Here is a 25,988-nt window from a genome sequence, read left to right as displayed (position 1 = left end):
CTCCTGGGTTCAAGCGAATCTCCTGCTTCAGCCTCCCAGGTAGCTACAGGCAAGCACCACCATGCCTGGCTAATTTTTGTATTTTTAGTAGAGATGGGTTTTTTTGCCATGTTGGCCAGGCTGGTTTTGAACTCCTTACCTCAGGTGATCCGCCTGCCTCGGCCTCCCAAAGTGCTGGGATTACAGGTGTGAGCCACCACTCCTGGCAGAGGGATTATTTCAACAGTTGTTTGTGCATGGTCTGGGGATTCACACTTCCTGGTGAGCCCAATCTTATGTTTCACTGTGGTTCCCACCACCTATCTTTGCTCACATACAATAGCATCACTTTTCCATCCCTACCAGACTCCAGATTATCATAATCTCAGGAAATTTGGATTATAGGCCACAGCAATAACCTCACAATAGCAAAGCCATTTTTTTTCTCTCTTTTCTCTCAATGGGCCACTTTGAACCAAAGGTTGTCTTTTTGTTGTAGGACCTTACTTTTTGTTGAAAGCCATATGAAGTAATCAATTTATTCCAATATCCTAAAATTTCTTGTCTTCCATAGCTTTATCAGGTACATAGCCTGAGACCAAAGGAAAATGAAGCAGCAGTTTAACCACCCTCCTTGTCACTGCATGACAAGTTTTGCCAATTCACCAGATTAGGGGCATGAGAGCTTGCTACTAGCCCAGTTGACATCTTGGCGCAAATTAGAAAAAACCTCCTCTCTTTCTCAAGTCACTTGACTGTCATTTTGCTAGAAAACTGTATTGCAAACATACAAATCTGTTGTGACTACCAATGTCATTGATGGCTCTGAGCTGTTCAAGGCACAGTGTGCCTGGAGGTCCTGAATGGCAACATCTTTGTTGCTTGTTGTCCCACCCCATTGGCTTGGTAATGTCTACCCTGCTGACATCATAGGGTCAATTATTTCCGCATCCCAATTCTGTTACCAAATTCTCAATTCACCGGTTGAAACTGATTACAAGTAGGCAAAAACCCAGTTTGATCTAACTTTTAAAAATGAATTTTATTGGCTTGTGTAACCAAGTGGTGTGGACCTCAAGTATGGGTTTGTCAGAATTCAGCTTCATTTCCCTGTGCTCTGTGAACTGGTTTTGTCCTTAGGCTGGCCTTCCTCCTCATGGTAGCAAGATGGCTATAGCAGCTCTAGCAGATGTAGGCTGCATGTTCATAGGGCAGAGCATCTAAAGGGAGAGAGAATACATTCTCCCAACAGTCTTGGAAGGAATTCTGAGCTTCACTCTGATAGGACCTGTTTAGGCTATATATTCCTCTCAATCACTGTGGCCTCCAGAATTAAAATGCATTGGTTGGAGCCTCAACCTTCCAGGACCACATAGCTCCCCAAGTCAAAATTAGAGCTTTTGGGATAATAGCTGTACATACTCCTGATGTAACTGCAATGCTAAAGTGCTGATGGCTTTCATTTATTGAGTCCTGCAATGTGCATTGGAGCCTCAAAATAACTTGTAAGGTAGGTACTATTTTTCTTTTTTCATTTTTTTTTTGAGATGGAGTCTCGTTGTGTCACCCAAGCTGGAGTGCAATGGCACGATCTCTGCTCACTGCAACCTCCGCCTCCCAGGTTCAAGTGATTCTTCTGCCTCTGCCTCCCAAGTAACTGGAATTACAGGTGCCCACCACCATGTCCAGCTAATTTTTTGTGTTTTTAGTAGAGGCAGGGTTTCACCAGGTTGGCCAGGCTGGTCTCGAACTCCTGACCTCAGGTGATCCACCCACCTCGGCCTCCCAAAGTGCTGGGATTATAGGTGTGAGCCACTGTGCCCAGCCAGGTACTATTTTTATCCCTAGTTTTACTCCCCTGTAAAAATAGATGAGAAAACTGAGGTTCTTATGTAAGTCACATGGCTGGCAAATACTAGAACAAGATTTGACCCAAAGTCTGCCAGGCTTTAATAAAGATGATGCCTTCTGGCTTCATCTAGTTGAAGCTGCATATTGTTCAGGGTCCCATCAGGAAACAGAAGACACATTCAAATGAGTTATATTAAAAGAAACTATTTACAAAGGTGTGGGGATGGCATAGAGAAACCACAGGGTTAGTGAAATACCCTGGGGCTGGTAACACTGGGAGGCTGTTACCTCCCCTAAACTTGGAGGGAGAAGGGAGGCAGTAGTTCCTGGACCCCAGAGAATATGTGAGCAGTATCAAAAAGGTGTCTCACCAGGTATGTCACCTTTGCTTGCGGGCCAGACTCGTGATGAGGAAGCTGGGGGTAGGAGGATAAATAGCCCAAACTCACTCTCCTTTCTCCCTCCCATCTTCTGTTGATCTTCCCAGTTGACCTCCCCTATTCAGGAGGCAGAGGGCATGATGCCCACTGGTGGGGGCTGCACTGACCAGCCTCCTGGACAATGACCAGGGTGAAGAAGGGTGTACTGTGGACCTGGAGGGTCAAATGGAAGATGCCCAGTATAGGGGAACTAGGGCGCATACACTAAATGGTGTAATAGAGCAGGTGTTAGGAAGCAGGAGTGTCACCATGGTTTTGGGCCACTAACTGACATTTAATTAAGGTTTGTGGCCAGGCGCGATGGCTCACACCTATAATCCCAGCACTTTGGGAGGCTAAGGTGGGCAGATCACCTGAGGTCAGGAGTTCGAGACCGGCCTGGCCAACATGGTGAAACTCTGTCTCTACTAAAAATACAAAAATTAGCCAGGTGTGGTGGCATGCACCTGTAGTCCCAGCTACTCGGGAGGCTGAGACAGGAGAATTGCTTGAACCCAGGAAGCAGAGGTTGCAGTAAGCCGAGATCGTGCCACTGCACTCTAGCCTGGGTGACAAGAGCAAAACTCTATCTCAAAAAAAAAAAAAAAAGATTTGCATTATTGCCATTTTTTTTACAACAGAAATATACTCTTACATCCGTAAAATATGATAGCTGCAGTTTCTTGAATCCCCACTTTATCAAGTACTTTATATATTACTGTATTTCAAATTCTCTCAGTAATACTAGGAAGAAGGTCCTATTTTGTCTCATTTGACAAATGAAGAAACTGAGACTCAGAAGGGTAAAAATAGTGCAGAAGTTAAGACCAGGGCTTTGAGGTTGATTGCTTGAGCTCAAACTTGACTCTATCGCATACTCACTCCTTGCCTCTAGGCCTGTTATTATACCTTTCTGTGTCTCAGTTTCCTCATCTGAGAAATTAGATAAATCTAGTTCCTGCCACATAGGGTAGTGAACCCATATACACAACACTGAGAACAGTTCCTGGAAGAGTCAATACTCAGTAAACTTAAGCTCTTGCTATTCACAAAGTGGTCCAAGATCACAAGGCTTGGAAGCTATAGAGCTGGGATTTGAATCCAGCTGGACTCCAAAGTCAGTGAATCTCACCTTATTATCTCATCTGATTCATGAGAGTTGGTTAAGCCAATGAGGACATATCATGAGAGGCTTCCTGGACTTCCCACCAGTGTTGGCCAGGAGGTAGTTTAGGACTTGAGCCCAGCTACTCACCTTTGCCCCTAATAAACCTGAATCAGGTGGTTTAAGAAGCTATGGGGAGACCTGGGGTCAATATCGGCAGGTCACTGAGATGAATAATGCACCTTCTTCCCAAGGAAGAATGAGCCCTTAGGTTACAACGGGAAAGTTTTGTGCAAACTTTTGGAACATGCCAGACCTTTAAGACCAAGTGGGCACATCAGAGCTGCATCCTCAGCTGCATTCAAGGCCCCGCTTCTCTGGGCTGTTCCTCCTGTGCTGCCTGTAGCCAGAGCCAGCCAATCACCCGCTGACTGTGCGTTGTCATGCAAATTCCCTTTACCTCCCCTCTCTCAGCCCGTTTTGCCCAGCCAAGCTGTGATCCTCAAAAACAGCCAGGCAGCCTGGTCCCTCTCTCTGGAGTCTCCCCATTGTCAAGAGTGCAGGATGGAGCCCACAGAAGCTACTTGTCTAAAATGTGGTTAGTTGACTGCCAGCGCTAAAATATTATCATTCAACAAATAGCTATTAAATTCCTGGGCAGGCATGATTCTAGGAGCTGAAGATACAACACCAAAAGAAAAAGAAACAATTTTTAAAAAGTCCCTGCCCTCATTAAGCTTATATTTTAAAATACTTCTCTACTCATGGGCCAAAGGATGTTGGCAGCCTTCTTTAGAGGGGCCGTGGTTGACCTTTTCATCTCATGAGACCCAGGCCCTGGCTTCATTCCTCCTCCAAGTGCCTCTGCCTCATCCTTTTCCCCTGCTTTTCCTCTTTCTCTGCTCCCTTACTTCTCTCTTTCCCTGTCCCACTTTCCTCTCTTCCACTTTCCCATTATCCTCTCCCCTCTCTCTTCATCTCTCCCCAACCTTCCTGACCTCCCCTCTTCCTCTTCCTCTGCCTGGGGCCATGGCTGTGTGTCTCTGCCTCTCCCCTCCACCACTCCACTGCAGGCAGTAACCCACTTAACATGCTCCAGGGGTTGGCCCAGTGCTTAAACATGAGAGAGAGGGGAATACAAATCACTCAGTCAGTTTGTTTTCAATGACCCATCGTTGGTGCTGCCCAGGGAGGCTGTGGCTGCCTGCTCTGCATTATGAGTGAGTGAGGGGCCTCGTAGGAGGTCCTAAAACTCCAGGACCTTGCCCTGCCCAGCCCAACCACACCACCTTCATTCTGTGTCCAGGGACCCAGGAGGCTCTGCCCTTTACACCCTGAGAGAAAGAGTTTATAACTGCTCAGTTCTCCAGCATTAGAGGCCTAAGCTCCTTGCTATCTGGTCAGTTTCCAAAAGGAGAAAATATAATACCATTAATGAAGCATTTATTATGTGGTAGGCACTTATGCTGAGCACTTTGCATGAATTCGCTCATATGATCTCTCAATAATTCCACAAGGTAAGTAATATTATTACCCCTGATTTGCAATACTCTGGCTCAGAGATGGGAAGTGACTGACCCTGGGTCAGCCACTAGTAAATGGCGAAGCAGGATTTGAATTCAGGATGCTGTGCTTCTAACCACTACCCAACACTCCCCTCATTGGCAGCACTTGTTCAGTTGCCATTATCCTAATCATCACAGCTGCGCATTTGCTCTCTCCTTCTCATTATAAAGATGCAGGTTTAGGGTCCAAAGAGGAAAGGAACCTTGCTTAGGGTCACACATGGCGCTGGTCACTGAGTTGGCAGTAGGTCTCTCTGGCCAGTATCACTTTTTCTGCACCATGAAAATGCAGGTTATCCTCAGCGCTGCTGGAATTCGGGAGATGGGCCATCCCTTTATACTGGCAGGCTTAAAGCGGGGAGGTGGTTGCTGCTGATTCTCCGTGTGAGCTTGGACTAATTTCCTTCCTTCTCTTCTGTTACAGGAGGGCATTGGAGCAAATTACTTCATAGACCTTTCCAGATCAGACAGTCTGAATCCAGGGTTTGGGAAGGGGAGGTATAGCCTCACAGAGCTTTGGAAGCAAACGTCTGTGGCCGCTCAAGTACCCAGCCAGGGTGCTGCAGGGGAACACAGGCACACACATGGCTGTTTACTCAAATCCACTGAGAAATGCTCAGCAGTAAGATGCTCTAGAAGAGGGGTTGGGAAACAAAGGCTGGCTTATATCACAGCTTCACAGTGACACTGAGAATTCATGCTAAATATTTTTTAAAAACCAACAACAGGCCTCAATAACTTAGCGTCAGGTGGGACTTTCATGCCTGGCATCAATGGGAATGGGTGAGACACTCTGCGGACTTCCGTGGGTCAGGAAGGACATTGTGCTTGCCTGGTATAAGGGTTTGAGCTCAGAGCCAGGCCTGGTGCGCTCGCAGCACACACTTTCCTCTCCCCTTCTTTCTCTTTTCTTTCTCTCAGCTGTGCAGATTGGATAGTTCCTTCCAGGCTTGGATAGGACTGGCTAATTGTGCCCTGGTGAGAAAGTCCTTGGGTAGCCCAGCATCTCAGGGTGGTGCTGGTTGGCAGCCAGACATGCCAGTCCCTGGAAGGAAGCTGGAGGTCAGCAGGTGCTTCCCCAAGATATGACTAGGACAGGATGAGTGTGTCAGGCCCAAGTCCTTCTCAGGCTTCTGAGCTGAGCATTTAGAACCTGGCTGCAGGCATTTGCCACACCAAGGGCAAGACACTCTCAACAGGAGCACTGTATTTCATCAGGACAGGAAATGGGAAGATTGAGAGGAGGCAAAAACCCAGGTGGAATCCCTTTTCAGCATGCTGCTAGGATGCCTAGCTTTTTGCTGATACAAAAGATGCCCAGGCAAGGGAAGCCCCCAGTGCCTGCAGCTGCTTCCCGCTCAGGATTTGACCCATAATTATAATCCCTTTCCTTTGATTTTCTCTGTGAAAACAGCCACATTCTAGCTAGGCTTCGAGCTGAAAAAAAGCACCATGTCAAGCTTAAGAGATTTATAAACATGGTGAAAAATCACAGGCTTGTTTTCCCACAGCTTGTTTCGCTAGGTGAGTGGAGGGAGGAGAGGAGAGAGGACAGCAGAGTTAGGATGGTGGGAGGAAGAAGTTGGAGTGGGGAAGATACAGATGTTCAGGACACCTGGGTGTACACAGACCAGGAATTGAATGTAAGTCAATAATGTGACTCATATAGCTAATGTCTCTGCTGGCAATGAGACAGGCACATACATGACGGTGCATACATATAATTTCTGTGTGTCCTGGGCTCTAACCAGAAAGGTTTTATGTGGCTTGTGTAAGCAGAGAAACCAGAATGAGAGAGAAAGAGACAATTATCCCTCTGGACTCTGCGCTATAAAGCAGGGACTGAATAAGTCGGAAGGCGTTCATGCATTGCAGGGAGAACACACTTGTGGTCTTTGCGATGTGCCTGATCATGTCTGAAGGCTCCATTCAAGATTACTTCAGAATATCACAGCTTCTGGAGCTGGCAGGGGCTCTGGAAGTCATCAGGCCCAGTCACTTTAATGGTTTGCCACCCATTTTGCAGATGAAACATCTAAGTGACGGGATGTGGGACTGGGAATTAGGACCCTTATCCTTAGCACTCGTTCACTTTGCAAACAGCCTCTGTCTAGAGGGTGCTTTGGCATTAGATGCCCTTGGGGAAAATGTGGATACTTGGCTCTGGGGAGCAGCAGTTCCTGCTGCATCTGCAGAGACCTAGGGCACTAATCCCTTGGAGAGAGCAGCTGGGAAAGCCCAGCCCTCTGGGGATGGGCTCAAGGTAGATACCTGAGGGACCCACATTCTGGCTGGAGCTAAGAGAGGGAGAGGTAGCAGGGCCAAATTCTCCTGTTGAAAGAAGCAAGGCCTGGTCAGAGTTGGGGAGCAGGGCTGGGTACAGAGGAGAGGATGTGAAGGTCCTTTAGTATCTCACTTCCCTCCACCCCACCCAGCTCAGAGGCCCAGGGTGCAGAGCCCCCACTGGCAGCCTGGATGGTGGTTGCTCTCCTGGAGACCAGTGAGGAAGCCACTGCTGCCCAGGGCTGCTGATTGAAGCTGGGATGTCTGTGTATCTCGGTGCTCTGCAGATGTTTTCCAAATCACTGTGAAAGTCTCTGCCATGCTCCTGTTTCACTGCAGCACCTCCCGCCCACCCATCAGCCTGCTTCCTGAGTTCATCCCTCCTCCTCCTGCCCAGCATTGCTTAGGCTGCATCCTTAATGACCCCCTGCTGCCACCGCCACCTCTCCGGGCCAGGTTTCCTAATTGGAAAACTCACAGCCTGCATCCCATGGAAAGGCAATTCACCCAGGGGCCCAGAAAGCTCATCGCAGGGTGTGTGAGGCTTCCCCTGGCACTCTCCTTGCTTCTCATGTCAGAGTTGATGCCAGTACACCTGGAGCAAGCATCCAGCCAAAAGCAGCAGTTCACTTGGAAATGGAGTATGTGTGTATTTGCGTGTGTCTGCGTGAGTTAGAACCACCAGGTCTCTGTCCACATGACTGCAAGTGTGTGTGTGGCAGAGTCTCTCCAGGTGGCTGGGAGGACAGAGACACATACTGAGCTGGTGGTGTGGACCTGCATGTGGCACTGCCACGTGTGCCTCTGGGTGCCTGCCTGACACTCTGCATGCTGCTGCTATGGTGTCTGATGGATGCAGGCGTTTGCATAACATAATGAGAATCTCTTTATGGCCCAGAAACCAACTGTTGGGCATGTGTCTATGGGGAGGGGGTGCTGGAAGACTAGGGGGCTGTGGCTGCCCTGGCAGAGGCCCACGTTTCAGGAGAGTCATGTATCCCTGCATCTTCTGCAAGTGAGAACATTCCCACGGGCGGCAGCTGTGACCTGTTACCTACACCTGTGGTCGGCATGTCTGGGAGCGTGCCAATGATCTGTATCCCCTGGGCTCTGCTCCACACCCCAAGCCTTCTCTCTGTCATCTTCATTCTCTGGGTGGGCAGAGGAGGCTCCTGGGGTTTCCACTGATGCCATCAGCACCCTGATGTCTGCCTTTATGGTTTGCCTCTACCCCCGCCCCGTCCTGGATCTTGTGAATACCCACCCAGGCCCTATCACCTCTTAGGGACACCTGGGAATTACGGTGAACAAAGCCCTCGGAGAGCTCACAGCTGTGGCCCAGGGAACACATTCCACCTGGCTCAGCTGTGAGTTCTTCCTTGCACTGTGCCTTGTGCAGAAGGTCCTCTTGGGGAATGTGAGGCGACTGAAAATGGACAGGTGTGCCCCACATGAATGGTCAGGGAGGTGTCATCCCACACAGGTTGTGGGGTTGGGAATATTTGGGGTGTCTGTGCAGCAGCATTACTTAGAGTTCAGGCTGGACAGAACCATCCCAGCTGGAAGCGACCACTCACTGTGAGCCTGGGACCCGCTGATGGCTGGCTGGCCTGGGGAAGGAGTCAGGATCTGATGGTTGTACCAGTGATGTGGGATGCTGCGGCAGAATTAGGACTCACCCTGCACCTGTGCCTGGCTCTGTGCCCACAGCAGTTCTGCTGCAGAATGAGGGAGAAAGTGGGCACCGGGGCCACAGCATAACAGCATAGCTCACAAGCACTTGTCCTTCTTTGCCGGGGGCACATCTCATTCCCTCCTGACCCCCAGCAGCCTCCTGCAGCCTCTGATAGACCGCTTCTGGCCCTGAGAGCAAGCTGGGAAAGGGCTTTAGTTTGCCAGTCTGCCCTCTTCTGTCATGGAGATGTTTGCCTCCCTGGGCGTCTGCAGACCTCTGCTGTGCTCCTTGGGCATCTGGGGGCCGTGGTGTGTGTGTCCCCAGGACAGGGTGCTTGCCCCACCGCTGGGTGAGTTGCCCTCCACATGGGGAAGGAAAGGAAATAATACTCTGCAGAAGGCCCCGTGTTTCTCCTTCATAATGAAAACCCCATTGTGTTTTCTGCTCTCAACGATACTGCGGCAGAGGCAGTTGGCAGCCCCTCAGGGCAAGATCTTCCTTCCCCATGCTGCCAGTCACAGCAGATCCACAAGAGAACTGCACCCTCTGAAAGCTCCCTGACTGTCTCCTCCTCCCCTCCTGAAGCGTGTGGAGTGGGACAGTGCTCCCCGCCCCTGTGGTGGTGGGGAGGGAGTGGGCAGAACCTGAAGGTCTGATGCTTGGGGCCTCAAAGGAAGACACCCTGATGCTTTGCAAAAGCTTGGGATCTGGAAGGAACTTAGGTTCAACATACTCATTTTACAGATGGCACTCCTGAACCCCAGAGGAGGGACGGGCTGGCCTAGGGGCCAACTCACAATCAGCAACATTTACAAAATGCTTATGAACAGTGCTAGGGCCTGTTCTGAATGTTTTATTTGCAGTGACACTTTGAGTAGTATTTCCCCGCACGCACCTGACAAGGACACTGAAGCACAGGGTACTTAAGAGTCTGTCCCAAGTTTACACAGCTAGTCAGTGGGAGAGCTGAGATTGACACCCACGTCAGACACCACATGTGTTCTCTCAACTACTGCATCCATGGCCTGTGCGGCGCCAGGGCTGTGACTCCGACTCCCAACCCAGTGCTTCTTTTCCACTGTGGCAGCTTTGCCAGATCTCAAGCATTACAGCCTCTGTTCTCTCCTGGCATCTCACAGCATCCTGGAGAGGTGATGGAAGAGGGGAGGATTATCCTCTCTTGGTTACAGATGGAGAAACTGAGTCAGGAATCATGACATCGATGACCTACCCAAGGCCCCACAGTGAGTAGGGCAGGGACCAAGATCAAAACCAAGACCGCAACCTCCCACACCCCTCTAAAACCTCTCTACCCTGAGTAGAAGTTTAGATCTCCGTTTATTTGCTCTAAACACAAATATAAACCAACCAGTTGTCTTGGGCTCCCCAGTGCCATGGGGGCTGCGAATCCTGTGTGAATGAAATGAGATGTGGCCTGTGTATGTTGGAGATCTGTGCACTTGGGATGTGCCTCCCACCTTGAAACTTGAATGACAGTTCCTGAGGGTAGAGATTCTGTTTTCTTGTCTGCTGTACCCAAAGCTCCCACGACTGTGTCTGGCACATAGTGGGTGCTCAAGAGATATTTATTGAATAAACGAATGAATTGAACCTGGAAGCTTCCCAAGGCTGCTGAGAGTGGATGTTTTCCCCATCACTTAGAACTCTCTGTCTTTATTTATTCCTCTATTCTCCAAACAGTATTGGCTTACGCTGAACCCTTGTCAGCTGCCAGGCTGCCAGGGAAGAAACATCAAATGCTTAAAGCTGGGGAAATGGTACCTCTGAGACAGTGTTGACAAGATGGGGGTCAGTGACCCCCCAAAAGGGAAGGTCACTTCAAGGCTCTGTTTAGGAAGGCTCCAGATATCCGTGGCTAACAGCTGTTCCTTAGCCTCTGCCCTCTGAGGTCTGGCCCTGCAGAGGTGAGGCCAGGTAGTTGGGGTGGGTGGGAGGTGGGTCTTATTCTCAAGGAGGGGGATGGGGATGGTTTTGGGGCTGAGAGGGTAGAAGATGGAGTGAGGAATGGGCTGTTAGCTGTCCTCTGTCTTAGAGAGGGAGGAACCTGGACACAGCCCAGACTTCCACCCATGAGGGTGTGAAAAGACCAGAACAGGGTGAGGTGAATACCTGGGGTGCAACATTCAAGAGGGTACCACAACACTAGGCCATGGAAAAAATCATCTTTTAATGCAATATTTCTAAAAATACAAATTAATGCAAACATTTCTGATGAGCACAAAAAGACAGAATCTGACACTGTGCTCGCAGGACTCACTGCCCTCCTTCCCCCCAGCCCCAGTCCTGGACCTGACACACAACGGGCATATCTGAGACCGGGGGCAGGTGGAGAGGGGCTGCGCTGAGAGGACGCCCTGCGTCAGACACACGTGTGAGAGTCTAGGAGGAGAAGCTGGGAATGGGGATAGCCCCGGGGAGGTGCCAGTAGAAAGCTGTAATTTGGAAAGCAGGGAATGATTGGGGTTTATGGTGGTTGGGGTTTTCTGATGAGGATCTTGCGCAGCAAGGACAATATAGTGGCCAATTTGTTGTTGCAGAACAAAGAGAAAGAGGGCCTTGGATGCGAGGATTTCTCTTCTTAAGCCAGCCAGTCTCTCAGTGTAATTGGACCCATTGTGTTTCTGATAATTCATGTTGGGGTGCAGGAATCCTGAGCTGGGGTGGGGGTGGCTTCCACCTCTGGAATGAGCTGTCAGAGGGAAGGTAGTGGGTGGCAGGGGGCCCTGGAGAAGGGGGGCTGCTACACAGCTGGAGGCCCGGGAGTAGGGGAAGCCTGTTGGCTCTGGGGCTTCCCATCACTCCGCCGAGCCCCAATCTTCCTCCTTCTCTCCCCTCTTCCCAGGTAGCCCCCTCACTTCCTGCCCCTCCCCACAGTGTTGAATGCCTAGGGTTCATGAGATTTAACTCCTAATGAAACAAATAATTGTTTCTCCCTTTACCCTTTCTCAGAATAGCAAAGAGAGACCTGGAAGAGGCAGCCTCTGCCTTAGCGTTCCAAGGCGAGCGTTGGTGATTGTGGGAGGGTCCCGGGGGTGTTGTCCCTCCTTAGTCTTCAGACCTGAACAAGCTGAAGCTGGAGCCACAGGAAAGGTGATGGGGCAAGAGGGGCTGCATGGGCCATGCTCCTCATTTCCCATGTTCCCTGCTCCCTTCAATCTCTAGTGTGCCTGGGATCTCCTGATTGCAGCTGGAGCATTAAAGGGGCTGGGAGGGGTCCTGTGCTTAGCCCCTCCCTCATATGTCCCCTCCCTCCACCCTAGGCCCTCTGATGTCCATCCAGCTTTAACACTGAGGGAGTCCCCTTAGTCCCTAACTGGACACCGAGGCTGTGGGGACTGGAGAGCAGCATAATGCCAGGTCTCTGCCCCGACAGTGGAGCTTGTGGTCTGGTGGGGAGGTAAGCCACCCCCACAGACAGGAACAAGTCTCATTAGGTTTGGCTCAGGACCAGAGGAGAGGCAAAGATGGTAGGTATCAGACAAGGGTCAGAGTGGTCAGGGACGCTTCCTGGAGAAGCGTTGAAGAGGCAGTTGAAGTGGGCCTTGGATTCAGCTCTCTCACAGCAGCCCGCTCAGTTCCCCTGATACTTCTTCTTGGAAATTTCCTGCCTTGGGTTTCCATAGTTGGGGCTGGTGCTGGTTATGGTTGGTTGTGACTGGTGGGGGCACACGCAGAACCTGTGGCCTTTCCCTGGTTGTGGCCCTGGGAGTGAGGGGATATGTGCCTAGGAAATGTTTCTACTGGAAGAACATTCATTCTGCAAATATTCCTGAGGGCCTACGATGTGCCAGGAACTATTCCCAGTATTGGGGTTCCTGCCCCCATGGGCCTTACACATCTAGGGTGATGAGCCTCTGCTGGGTGCTGCGGACTATGCTGGAAGCTATTCTGGCAATCACAGTCCTTTTAGGGAGTGAGCTCCCCGTCCCTGGAAACAATTACGTAGAGAATGGATAACCACTGCACCAGATCCCCTGGATCAAAATCCAGCTCTGCCGTGTACTAGCTCCATAACCTTTGGCAGGGTATGTCAACCCTCCGTGCCTCAGTTTCCTTACCTTGAAGACAGGAATAATAATAACCCTATCTCATTGTGTTGTGGTGAGGTTTAAGAAAGCTTGGAGGTGTAAAGCCTGAAAACAGTGACTGGTACATGGAAAGCACTTGACAAATGGCACCTTTAGATGAAGAGTGGTGACTGCATCCATGATTATCCTCCAGGGGTGCCTTCGCCAGGGGCCAGGAGATAAGGCTCAAGGTCTTGGAGGCTCCACACCCTCTGATCTGCAGATTCTGAGCTGCCCTCTGTCTGGCAATTCTTCTCTGGCTCCTGAGCTTTGAGGGGCAGGGCTTCAGGTTCCTTGGTGGAGGCTGTACCCTGCATGGAGTCCCTGCAGGCAAGCTCTCCCAGCACTCTGCGGGACGGGTCCTGAGTTCCTCCAGCTGCACCTCCTAGTGGTTGTGGTCCAAAACAGGCTCCTCATTTCCCATGTTCCCTGCTTTGTCTCCACTGTAGTCCCAGGCCCTTCAGTCCCTTCACTGATTCTTTTCATTTTTCTAACTCAAGGCAGCTAAGGAAATTTCAGACCTTCATTTGCTGTCATTCTGTTAAGTCACACTGTGACCTTGGGGAATAGTTAACATGTGTGTAATACATGTTCTGGGTTCGGTTCCAGGAAGGCAGTGACTTTGACTCTTCTCTCAGACTAGAAGTACCTAGAAAGTAGGGATTATTTCTTCCCATTCAGACTGGGGCTCCCTGAGGACGGGGCTGTGTCTCCCTCAGAGTGGGGCTCCCTGAGGCAGGGCTGTGTCTCCCCTCAGACTGGGGCTCCCTGTGGACAGAACCGGCCCCCCACTCACCCTGGGAGCTGCTGGAGCACCTGGCTCTCTCCTCGAGGTTTGCCCAGGCCTCACCCCTCAGGCAGGAGCCTCTGAGCCTTTCCGGGTCTCCTGCTCTGCCTCTGCTTGAAGCAGAACCTCCGGTGACTGGTCACATGCAGCTGGCCATTGACCATGAACTTCTTTATTTCCATCTCCCCACCTGACTCCATACTGGGCCTGCACAGTGTCTTTCTAACATTCTCACTCAGGCTGGACCCATTGGCTTCTGCATCGCTGAGCCAGCTGCAATACCAGGTGACCTCCTTCTCCTTGTCTTTCTTACTGTCCCCTTTCCCTAATCGAATTATTTTTTCTCTGCATTGTGCACATCAAAGGAAGCTTTGGCTGACCTGGGTTCTCTACACTCACTCAAAACACTCTGAGAACAGTGATGAGATGGGCATAATAAGAGTCTCAGTGCATTGTCAGCAAATGTGGGGCCTGCACCCCTTCCTGTTCTCCTTCCTCCCCACCTGCACCTCCCACCAATGTAGACTGTGCAGCTAAGCAGTTAACAGACAGATCAACCTGGGTCAGCTGGAGGGCAGGAGGAGGGTGCCTGGCTCATAGTCCCACCCCCGGCCAAGGATGTGTCTGGATGGGGAGGAGAGGTAAGTGGTGGTTAATGGGGTCATGTCAAAGCCATTTTCCAACAGGCTGCAGTGGGGATGTCTCCTGACCCCAGGCGGGTTTCCAACCACCCCCAAGGAACACCAAGGCAATGGCAGGGACAGTCCATACCCCACCCTTCCCTTCTCTTTGGAATTCTGGGTCCTGGTCACAGCCTAGGTTCCAGGCTGCTCTAAGCTCTCCCCAGGCATTCAGGACACAGCTGCCTGCCTAACTCAGGATGAGCAATCATAATAGTCATGATAATGATGGTAATCATCATGAAGCCTGGTTGTAAATGCTCAGAATGCCTCCCAAAGGGCATTCCCTTTCATCATCTCATTTGACAGGCAGGCGAGGTGGCTGAGACCCAGAGGGATCACAGGTTTATGATCCCATAACAAGGTGGCAGCCACTGAGGCTTCCCATGCTATAGAAACTCTCTCTTCTTGACCTTATCTTGCTTTCTGGGATGACTCCAAGACCCAAGGCTCGACCTGCAGCTGCCCAAGGAAGGTAAACTAGAGTGGTGATTAAAAGCCTGGGCTTTGTAGTCAGAAAGATCTCAGTCCAAGTCCCAGCTCTGCCACTATATCATGGGCCTGGGGGCAAGTGGTTCCAGCTGGTTCCAGCTTTCTGAGCCTCAGGCGCCTCATCTGTGAAATGAGATCCTGGTACTCATTGCCTAGGGATTTTCTAAGATGGGCGCGGGGCACCTGGCATTTAGGAAGTGCTCAGTAAGTGGTATCTGTCTTGGTCTTGGCCAAGAGGTCCCCTGTTCTAGACCACAGGCTATGGGTCACCTTGCCCAAAGACTGGGCCCAGAGACCTGGGGAGAGTGATGACCCTAGAAGGAAGGTGAGGAATGAGCGCCAACAATAATAATAGCAATACCTGATATGTGTCAGGCACCATCCTGAGCTCACTGTGTGTATTTTCTCAGCCAAGTCTCATAAAATCTTTATGAAATATTGTTATTATGAGGTCCATTTTCCAGAGGGGAAACTGAAGCACAGGACAGTTCCATATTTGTCCAGGGCCATAGAGCTGACTTCAGAGCCTGCACAGATCTTGTCCGCCTGCCGTTGCAGAGCCAGGTACTGCCAAAGCTACTATTTGAACTCTCCATAGAGTTGCTAGTCCATGGATCAGCAGTTGGGGGGAGTGGGGGGGTCTCAGGGTCTGGGGAGCCCTCTTGTGTTACATGGACATTTCCATGAAAATGTGCAATTCACATTTTCCTTGGGGGAGCTTTCACCATTTCTCATAAGAGTCCATGACCCCCAAAACGTGAGAACAACTCGTCTAGTTCATTGAGCCCATCTCACAGTGAGAGGATGGAGACCTAGCAGAAGTGACTGGTCACATAGCTGCTGGCAGAGCTAACACTGGGTCTCAGTGTTCCTGGCCCCCTGGAATGTTCGAAAGTGGTTCAGAGAACAGGCTCTGCCGTTCAGACTGCCTGGTCCACCACTGACCAGCTGTGTCCCTGTGGGCAAGCTACTTAGTCTCTCTGTCCCTAAGTTTTCTCATGTAGAAAGTGGAAGGGAAGTTGTAACAGTGCCTATGACATGAGAATTAAATGGCTAGTCCATGTGAAGAACTTGGAGCAATGCCTGAGGAATTCCGAGTGTCCGGTGAATTTGGCACACTTGGCCCTTCATCACGCCAGTGTGGTATCATTAACTGTAATGATGCCACGCTGCTCCAGCCTCCACCTTGCAGTGTGGCCACAGGTAGAGACCTTCCCTCTCTTTCCTTGGTCCAGGCTGTGCTTAGGTCCACCTGAGCTTTTAATCCCTCCTTTCCTCCACAGCATGCTTCTCAGGAGTTTTCTGTGGGTGCAATACTTGTTTGTCAAGTCTCCTCTATCAGGATGTGAAGTTCCCACATCTAAGGGCTACTTCTGCCTTTATTTTGTGTCCAAAGCAGGGATGTTCTGGCCTCTGCTTCCCAGGGCATTTGGTACAGGCGAGCTGACCTGACTGAGTCTAGGAAGTTGTACCTCACTTTGGTGGGGGTGAGAGGTAGGAGGAGAGCTTTTTTTTTGGTTTTAATCAATAGCCAGTAATGGTCAGAAAAGACTACTTGAGGGTCCCTGAAAGAAATTGAATTCTCTCTCTGTCTTTCCCTCTCTCTCTTTCTCTCTCTCTTTCAAGTGTGTGTGTGTGTGTGTGTGTGTGTGTGTGTGTGTGTGTTTTGAGCAAGAGAGGAGTAAAGTAGAAAACATCCCACTCATATACTTTTTAGAGCAGGGAACAGATTTTTAAAAATTCAATTGGTACATAAAGTAATAGAAAATGTATTTTGGTTCTGTATTTCTTCCAGTCAAGGGAAAGAAAAAGAAAAGACTAAAGAGATAGAGAAAAAGAGACAGAGAGAGAAAGAGAGACAGAGAGACAGAGAGACAGAGACAGAGGCAGAGACATAGAGACAGACAGAGAGAAAACAAAACAAAATAAAATACTCAATGGGTAAAACAAGTAAATGTTCACCAAGACACCCCAAGAAGCCCTGGGAAACGTTCTCATCCTGTGGGAATTTAACACTGTGCCACTTAACACCTTACAGTTGGCCGTTGCATTTTTACAACCACAGGCAGCCTGTCACTTCTTGGTACTTGACCCATAGTCCAGGTGAACTAAGCTACGGATGTGATGAAGCCTGAAGGCTGGAGGCCTTCATTATTGTCTTGCTGTTATTATCATTGTATTGTGTTCAGTACCCACCTGCTGGGGGCTCAAGGTACAAAATTGACAGGGTTCCGCCCTTAATGAGCTCCCATCCCAGTTGGAGAGGCAGACATGTAAATAATGATTATAATAAAAGTCAGGCTGTTATAATTACTGTAATAAAAGTTCAGAAAAAGTGCACGGAGGAGAGATTAATTAATTCTGACTGGGAAATCCGGAACTGCTTTGTAAGGAATAACTGATGAGGCATCTTGGAGGAGGTACAGGATTTCCGTAGGCAGGGCAGGCAGAGGCAGCGGAGGTGGGATGGTTTTTGCATCAGACAACTTGGATTTAATCTTCAACTATGCCACTTCCTGGCTGTGTGGCTTTGGGTTGGTGACTTAACTTCTCTGAGCCTTCATCTATGAAATGAGAATAATGGTGTCCCACTACATATCTCATAGGGCTATTGTATCAAAAGATAAAGCACATGACATTGTTTTGTAAAATATAAATTGAACAAATATAAAACAAATAGCTATTAGGGGGCATGTGATTACTATATGGGTGAGTGTGACCACTAGGTCCATTATATTCCTATACTGTGTGGAAGTCCATTCTAGCCATCTCTGGGATATGATGACCCCAAGTAGGACTAGACTGCCACCTGCCTAAAACTGTCTCCACAGGAGAAAGAATTTCAGGCAAAGGGGAAGGCAGCTCCAACTGCCTGATACATAGTGGGCCCACGGTAAGGCTTGAGAGAGCCTGCAGCTGTGTGCTGTGCAGATGTCCCTGGTGTGGGTTCACTAGTCAAACTTCAGGAGATGAGATTGGAAAGGTAGGTGGGGTTAGAATGCAAACTGAGCTTCCATATATGCAGGAACTGTGCGGACACCTGAAGAATTCCTGCATGGAGACTCGGGAGATTGCCCTTGCCTCCAAGATGTTCACAGATCCCAGCACGGAGACTGCTTTAGGTGCCAGGGGCTAGTGGGGTTCTTGGACAGAAAGTGGCACTGATGGGTTGTGTCAGGGCATCTTACTGGAATGTAGATGATAGAATAGGGAACAGTGGCCAATACAGGCTTGTAGGGAAGGACATTTGTATGTGACAGCTCACACAGAAGATAAGGAGGGGGCAGTGGTAGTGGAGATGGAGAAGCTATGGATTAAAAAAACTATTGTATAAGTAGAATCAGCAGGAACTGAAGACCATGGGAATCGGCCTCATAAACAAAAACTGGCACACAGATAAGACAGCCACAAATGCTGCTAGCAGAGGGAGGGAGGGGGCAACGAATCAAAAACAGCTCCAAGGGCAACTGAAATTCTGCTCCACTGCTGGAGGGAGGATCTGGGAGACAGACACTCTCAGAAGACCATTGGGTAGAATTGACTACAGCTATCTTGAGGCATACTTTGTGACCCTCCTAAACACAGAGGAAATGTAAACATATGCCCCGGCAAGATGTGTTCCTGGGCGTTCAGAGTGCACCATTCATAATAGCCTGGACTGGAGACTCAGAAATGCTCATCAGCCATGGAGACAAGCAGTCAATCATGATGTGCTCACATCAATAAATACTACACAGCAACAGTCATGAACAACCGAAAGTTATGTTGCATGTTCTTTGAGAATCTCATGAACATATGAAAACAGCCAGGCATCAAAGACTAAATATTGTAGGATTCCATTTATGTAAATTACAAATCAGATGGCCTATCTGTGGTATTAGAAGTCAGAAAAGCAGTTGCCCAGTTCGGGGAGCAACCAGAAGGAGCATGAGGGATGAGTTTTGTTCTGTTTCTCTATCTGAGTGCTGGTTACATGGTCTGTTTATTTGGTGCAAATTTATTGAGCTTATAATATGCATGCTTTTTTGGATGCATCTGGTATTTCAACAAACATGCTTTTTTAAATGTTCCCTTTCTCCCTTCCAAAAATGGCTCCAAGGATTGTCGCTTGGTGCAGACAGGCAAACAGTGTTGACAGTTAGTTACCCAGACCAGGAAGGCAAAGGGAGAAGCAGCATATGAAGCAGCAAAGAATTTGCTTTGGATGAGGCCAAGGTGCCTGTTAGACAGTCAAGGGCAGGTGTGAACTTGGCACTCCGAAGTGAGTGTGAGGAGCTTGGACCAGGCCTGGTAGAAGCATAGAACTGAGGGCCATCAGTAGAGCGGGCATTGTGGAGCAGGGGGCAGGTCCCCCACGTGGAGTGTGGAGAGTGAAGAGAGCAATGGGTGCTGGGGGTGACGGGTCCTGGGGAGAACCAGGGTTCAGGGGCAAGCAGAGGGGCAATCCTCTGAGGAAGTTGGGAAAGGGGTGATCAGAGAGAGGACAAACTCAGGAAGAACAGAGCGTTATAGAGATCATGGCCAACAGGGCCATATGTTGCAGAGAGGCCAAGCATGGTCATTTTGACAATCACCACCACTGCTGCTGTTATGGCTTTCTTCCATGTCTTTTCTGTCTCAATGAGCTACTATTCAGTTACTCTTTCCTATCCTGAACCTCACCATTCACGCTTACCATAACTTGGGCCCTTGTTCATTTCTGGAACTGCGTGTGAGCCAAGACTTTCCTATCCCAGGCCTGTGCAATTGATTGCCCTGATCTGAATGTAGAGCATTCTTCCCTGTTAGACTTCACCTTCTATCTTTCTAAGCCACAGGGGAAAGTAGAGAAGAATGAGGTTTCCCCGAGCAGGCCTGTATGCTTGGGTGGCACAGAGTCCAGAGGATGGGTGGAACAGACAGCAGGCATTGCAAAGAGAGGGCGTCTGTCTCTGCTTCATTCCTTCTGCGACGACTCTCTCTGGGCCTGCATTTCCCCTTGCTTAAAGTGTGAGTGTTACCTAACACATTCACCCATAGGGGCCACCTGTAACTTCTAGCTGGAGAAAAGTGGAAGGTTTGTAAGCAAATGAAAATCTGTGTTTCTATTTGGGTATCTGCAATGTGAAATGAGGACGTTTAAAAACAAGAATCCTTCAAATTAGCATAATAATAATAGCTCCTGTTTATTGATCCTTACAGTGTGCCAGGCACTAGGCTGAGCATGCACTTTTGTGATCCGGTTGAATTGTCACATCCACCCTGTGGGGGTTATGCAATTATGACTCCTACTTAATGGCTGGGGAAATTGAGGCACAGAGAGTGTCAGTACCTTGGCTGAAGTGTCTCAGCTAATAAGCAACAGAGCTGGGATTTGAACCCAGACAGCTCCAAGTGTCTGCAATGAAATGTGACTATTGATTTGAATACAGGGAGTGGTGGCAGAAAACTATGCATAATCTAAATCCACAGACAGTCCATAGGCTCTTTATTTTGGGTTTAGAATGCCCTACTTGATGGCTTGGCAGCAGATTTATTTACTTTCTATATTCCATTTGATTTAAGCAAATATTAAGATGAGTTACTTTTCCCTTAAGCCCACATTGACCACCTGCAGGAAACAGTGTGGATAGCATGGTAGGCAGTTTGGTCCACAAATTTAAGTAAGCAATAAATATCACATTTTCTTTATTTTGTTTGCACTGCCATGAAACTGACCCTGAACCCCAAACCTCCTACTGAGTTGGTGGGAAATTCCGTTTCTGTCATGACTGGGACTTTCCCTTCCCATTCAGTCCAGGGTTATGCAAAGGTCCTGGGGTCCTTTGAAGCGCTGGCTGACCTCTCACAGCCTCGCAGTGACTTCAGAGCTGCCCTGCTCTCTCTGCTTCTTCCAGATACCTCAAATTATTTCCTCCCGAGCTTAGGCTTGTGTACAGAACAGGAGGGGCAGTGACCTTAAGCATCTTTCATTTTCCACCCTGAGGCCTGGAAAATAGAAAAGGGCAATAGGGAGGATCAGGACAAATTAGTGTGTGTGAGTCTGTGGGGAGCCCCTGCCTGCTAGAGAAGCAGGAGCCACCCAGGCAGTGCCTTCCCCAAACGTGTAAATAAACTGAGCCCAGAATGTGTCCTGGGGTGGCAGGAATGGGGCTAGCAGTGGGACTAGTTGGAGCAACCAATCTAAAAGGCTTCTTGGAGAATCCATGGGGACCCGGGGTGAAGATCAGAAAGCCCAGAATATCCTCTGTGCCCTAGAAAGGGAGAAAGAAGGAATATAGACAGTCCCCAACTTAGGATGTTTCAACTTAGGATTTCTGACTTTACAATGATGCGAAGGCAATTAGCATTCAGTACACTCCTAGACTTATGATCTAGTGATGTCCAGAAAAACCTAAACCCATCGTAAGTTGAAAGTATTGTAAACATTCAACTTATGTAACCTCATCGGAAGTCAAAAAGCATCTGTATTAGTCTGAGCCTGGAGCCCTTAGCCTATGGAAGGAGCCGAGTCACTGGCTTTGACTCCCTCCACTTTGACTCCCTTAGCTAAGAGGGTCCACCTTAGCTCCACAAGGACAGCCGTGGCAGGGCAGGCCAGAGGCATCAGGACCTAAGCACTGGAGGGCTTTAGGGTCAGCTGGTTCAGCCTCCTCCTCATGTTAAAGAGCTGGGAGAAGGTGTGCCTCTCATTGAGCGACTCTGTTGAGTGCTCCCTCTTCCCATGGGCATCTACAGTGTCTGAGAATCCAGGCATTCCTGTGTTCAGTCTGGTTGCCCTCACCCAGCTATGCAGCTCCACTTCGGCAGGCCGCCAGTGGGGACAAAGGGCTGGAGTTAGGGAGGACATGTGATTTTAACCTTGTTAGAGTTCAAAGGTTGACAACAGAAAATTGAAGCTTTAAGATAGCTCTTTTGTAAAAACTAGGATATGCTGTAGGTGTTAAGTGTTTAAACTCTGGCGGAAGAAACCTGGGTTTGAATTCCCACTCTGGCCTTAATCAGCGGTGTGACCTTGGGCAGTTTACTTAACCTCTCTGAGACTCCATTTTCTCCTCCATAAATGGGAATAATAACAGTCACTTTGTAGGATTACATGAGTTTGTGTGTTTAAGACATTTTCAGTTAGTAACACATATGATAATAGCTATTATAGCTATGATTATTGTTATGTCTGGCAGCAGGAGGTTCCTCTGTCTCCTCTATATGACCCAAACTACAAACTGAACTTGGCCCCAAATTTAGAACATAAGCACGTAGTTTCAAATGCCTTAAGGTGCTCTTGCTTTAATTATTTTAAAAACAGCATCATTAACTGATCATTAATGAGTAAAATAATTTATGTCATATGATTTTCAAGCCCTGGTCAAATATACTATGGTACCTTTCTCCTTAATCACTCACATAATCACTCTATCTTTAGCCAAGTGTATATTGGCTCTCTTTCTCAATGATTTAAAATCTAGCTTCCTTCTTATATTTCAGGCTGACATATCATCTACAGTGGCTCCAGGTCTCTTCCTTCCATGACTGGAGACTTTGAGGTCCTAGAAAGAATCCAGGTTTTGTGGTCAGAAAGATCTGAACTGAAATTCTGGTCCGACCCCTTGCTGTCTGTGTAGCTTTAGGTAAATATCTTGTCTCACTGTGTATGTCACATCATAGGCTACAGGGTCAATTGAATAAAATAAAATCTACCAAGCCCCTGGTGCAGAGTAAGCATCATTGAACATTAGTCCTTGCCTTGTCCCTTTTCATTTTTCTTTCTCTGGCATGACTTTGGCTGTCCTGGAATGCATTGTTAGAGAAGGCCCTGGAAGAGGAGGCTCAGGCTGTCTGCAGCTCTAGGCCTTCCTTCAGGTAGCTTCTGGAAAATAGCTCTCCAGTGCAAAGAAGATCAATTTCCATTTTACTTTCAAGGATGAGTGAAATGCCACTCTTCCAAAGGAATTTCTAGAAATGCTGCTATTCGATATCACTGGTCTCACATTTAGGGGCCCTTCCCTTAGCCACATTGGAGTTACGGCCTTGTCTCACTGAGATCCTGATGACAAATCCATATTTATGCCCTCAGTGCAACCTTTTAGTCCTACTCAGTCCCTTTGAGGTCACCCAGTTCAGGCAATGATCAGTCCTGCCCAAAGGAATGATCCCAGGAGCCAGGCAGACCTGGCTTTGAATCTGGCTGCACCGTCTCCCAGGTATGTGATGCTGTGAGCTTGGCTTCACTTCCCCAGATCTCAAACTTTTCATCTTAAAATGTGGGCTAAGGGTGGTTCCTGAGGCTTGGGTTAATGAGGTGGTGGGTGTGCAGGGACAAGAGATGCAGGAGGAGTTTGAGTGGGGAGGGACCGGATGGCCACATCCAAAAGGAAGCCACCCACTGGCCACACAGGTCTGCAGAGTGCTGGGCACATTGCTGAGCTCTTGGGGAAGAGCTGGCCTAGCCCTCACAGTGGACAGAGAGTGGGAGTCAGATATGGAGAATGCTGCCATGGTGGAACCCCCAGAGCTCCAGGGCAGGGGAGAGAACGTCATGCAGGTGTGGAGAACTGGTGTGCTAAAGACAGGTACTCATTCACAAGATCCAGGTAAGGTCACGCCTTCCTGGGAGCATAAGCTAGGAAACCAGTACAGGGCAGATCAGAACTGGGAGGAGGCAAAAGTTGTCATTTTCTGTCTTTGCTAAGGTTTGTTCTGTGGCCTCTTCAAGGAAAACTATAGAAGAGACTGAATTTGGCACTTGGAATGGTGACGCATACACACACCATTGCTTGAAATGACCTTTTTGCTCACTGGGTAAAGGCCAAACTGTAGTGTTGTGACTAGCTGCGGAGCACGCTGGCTGGATTCAACCCCGGTTCTGCTAGCTGATAAAAGAAGCCTTGTTTTTGTCTTCTGTGGAATGGGGACAGCAGTAGCACTCTTGTTGCAGAGATTATTGTGCAAATTACGCAGTCAGCCCATAAGCAGTGCTCAGAACTGTGCCCTGCACATAGCCGAGAAAACACTACTGCTATTAAACCAGGAAAATCTTGAGAACAGGAACCTTTTCTCTCTCCCTCTTCCCAGCACCGATCTCGTGCCTTCGTGTTCAGTGTGTATTTGCTAAAGATGGTGACGTGTAGCTGGCCCTCTGAGGGGGGTTCATTTCAGCACAGAAATGGAAAGGGGAGAACTTGGGGGAAGACTGTGTCTTACGTGGTCTTGCGGGCAAAGTTCCAGGGCCAGAAAAAAGCAAGATTGTCCAGGTTGTAAGAGCCAGGGCTGGTGGTTGGAGGCCTGGCAGTGTGGGAGGGCTGGAGCAGCGAGGCTTCCTGGAGGAGGTGAGATGGGTCAACTGACCTAAGGGGAAAGTAAGAAGAAAGTATGGCAAGAGGAAGGAGGCACCACAGGAACTGAGGGGCAAAGGGTGGGCTCGGAGCATGTGTAAATCTCAGTTCTCTTTGCTCATAAAGTTCTGCAGATGCATATTTCTGTCAGTTTTATATTAACATTTACATAACAAGTAGATTGAGAGATTGCATTATTTACATATATATGGGAGGCCGGCTGGAACTGGGGATCCTCAAGTCTGTACATGACGTTTCATTGATTAATAAATTAGACACTTACAGATCAGGCACAAATCAAATCCATCCATTTCAGGCACCCATCAGGTGCAAATGAATGTAAATTGGCAGCTTCATTTGCATAGGGAAAGCAAACCATTTAGTTGTCATTTGTCATATGCACCCTTGAGAGGCTGTAATTTGCCTAGTAGAGCCAGCCTGCAGCAGGGCCGCCCTTGCTTTCTGGGGTGATTTCTGAGACTGCTCCAGCCAGGGGCGAGCAAGGGAGTGGCCTATGGAATGCTCCTGTGTCCTGCTCCCCTCCTGGAATCACCAGCATGGCCCCAGAGGGGGACAGCAGAGCCAGGGCCAGGTGGGGACACTGCCTTGTCACAGAATCAGAAATGAGGTGGCCAGGACTGGAAAATCTTCAAATCCATCTATGCCCACTTTGTATTTTATAGATGATGAGCTGAAGTTCAGAGAGGGGAAGTGACTCTCCTAAAGTCACACAGCAATGTAGCTTCAGTGCCAAGACTAGAACCGAGTTCTCCTTACTCCAAGCTCATTACCTTTGCCACGATGCCCTAGTGGTTCTTTCTAACAGGAAATAAAGGAGCAGGGTATGGAGCTTCTAGAATCACTGACCCCTGACTCAGTTTCCTGAGGCAAGGGTTGGAGGTCAGGGGGTGGAGGTTCAGGATAAGAATGAGTTGTTACTATTAGGATCCAGTTTTCTATAAGCTTCTGTCATGGCCTGATTTCAGGGCACCTGGAGGGCCCCTCTCTCCTGGGCATATTGACCACCATCCCTTTGGCCCCCCAAGTTCCTTTAAAGACAAAAAGAAAGGTCTTTTGTTATACATGAAAAGACACAGTTTAAAGGCTGGTTGGGTTGCCAACAGAGTGAGTGAGAAGGAGCGCCTCGGCCCCCTGCCTGCGTGAGCCAGGCCTCCAAGAAAGATGGAAAAGGTACAAAAATGGGACCCCAGAGGCCAAGCTTTATTTACTTCACAGCCCAAGAGAGACAAGAGATGAGGGCTGCAGGGGTGTGTGTGTGAGTGAGAGAGTGTGTGTGTGTCAGTATGTGTCAGTGTGTGTTAGAGGTGTGGCGGGTCGGGGGTGGGGAAGCAGTAAGTCAGGGTAGGGGGAGGTGGCTGACCTTCAACATCAGTTATCAGGGCAGGCAGGCATCCAGGTGATCTGTCCTGGTTATGGGACACCTGTTAGAGGCAGGGGGATAACTGAATTGACTCTGATGGGATTTTTCTACATTTTAAAATCTGCATGTGTTTTGTTTTGGTAGGTTAGGGCATCAAATTGGGATGTAGTTTTATTTTATTTTTAAAATCTCTCCCTCTGTGTGCTAAGAAAACAGGCTAATGGGGACATTATCCCCCAGTTTTCCTGTACCCCTGTTGTTCACGATGATGAGGAAAACCACATTTAATTTTCCTGCAACTGCTGGGAAGTGCCATGCAGCTTGGGCTGGCCTCCCCAGCCCCTCCCCCTGCCCTTCCCAGCCCCTCCCCCT

General features: G+C 49.0%; 1 protein-coding gene and 1 long non-coding RNA gene across 2 annotated transcripts in view; one reads left to right on the top strand and one right to left on the bottom strand.

The window, feature by feature from the left end:
* LRFN2 (leucine rich repeat and fibronectin type III domain containing 2) overlaps positions 1–25,988 on the top strand; it is a 195,774-nt gene that overhangs the window by 37,401 nt on the left and 132,385 nt on the right. The window lies entirely within an intron of this gene.
* On the bottom strand, positions 20,575–25,970 carry LOC105375051 (uncharacterized). Its single transcript, XR_007059918.1, has 3 exons — positions 25,617–25,970; positions 24,105–24,248; positions 20,575–20,891 (listed from the first exon to the last, which is right to left on the bottom strand). It is a non-coding gene; the product is annotated as an uncharacterized LOC105375051 (long non-coding RNA).

This window comes from Homo sapiens, chromosome 6 (assembly GCF_000001405.40).
Source record: "Homo sapiens chromosome 6, GRCh38.p14 Primary Assembly".
NCBI lineage: Eukaryota > Metazoa > Chordata > Mammalia > Primates > Hominidae > Homo > Homo sapiens.
The sequence above is the reverse complement of the archived record's forward strand: the minus strand, read 5'-3'. Positions and strand labels throughout refer to the sequence as shown.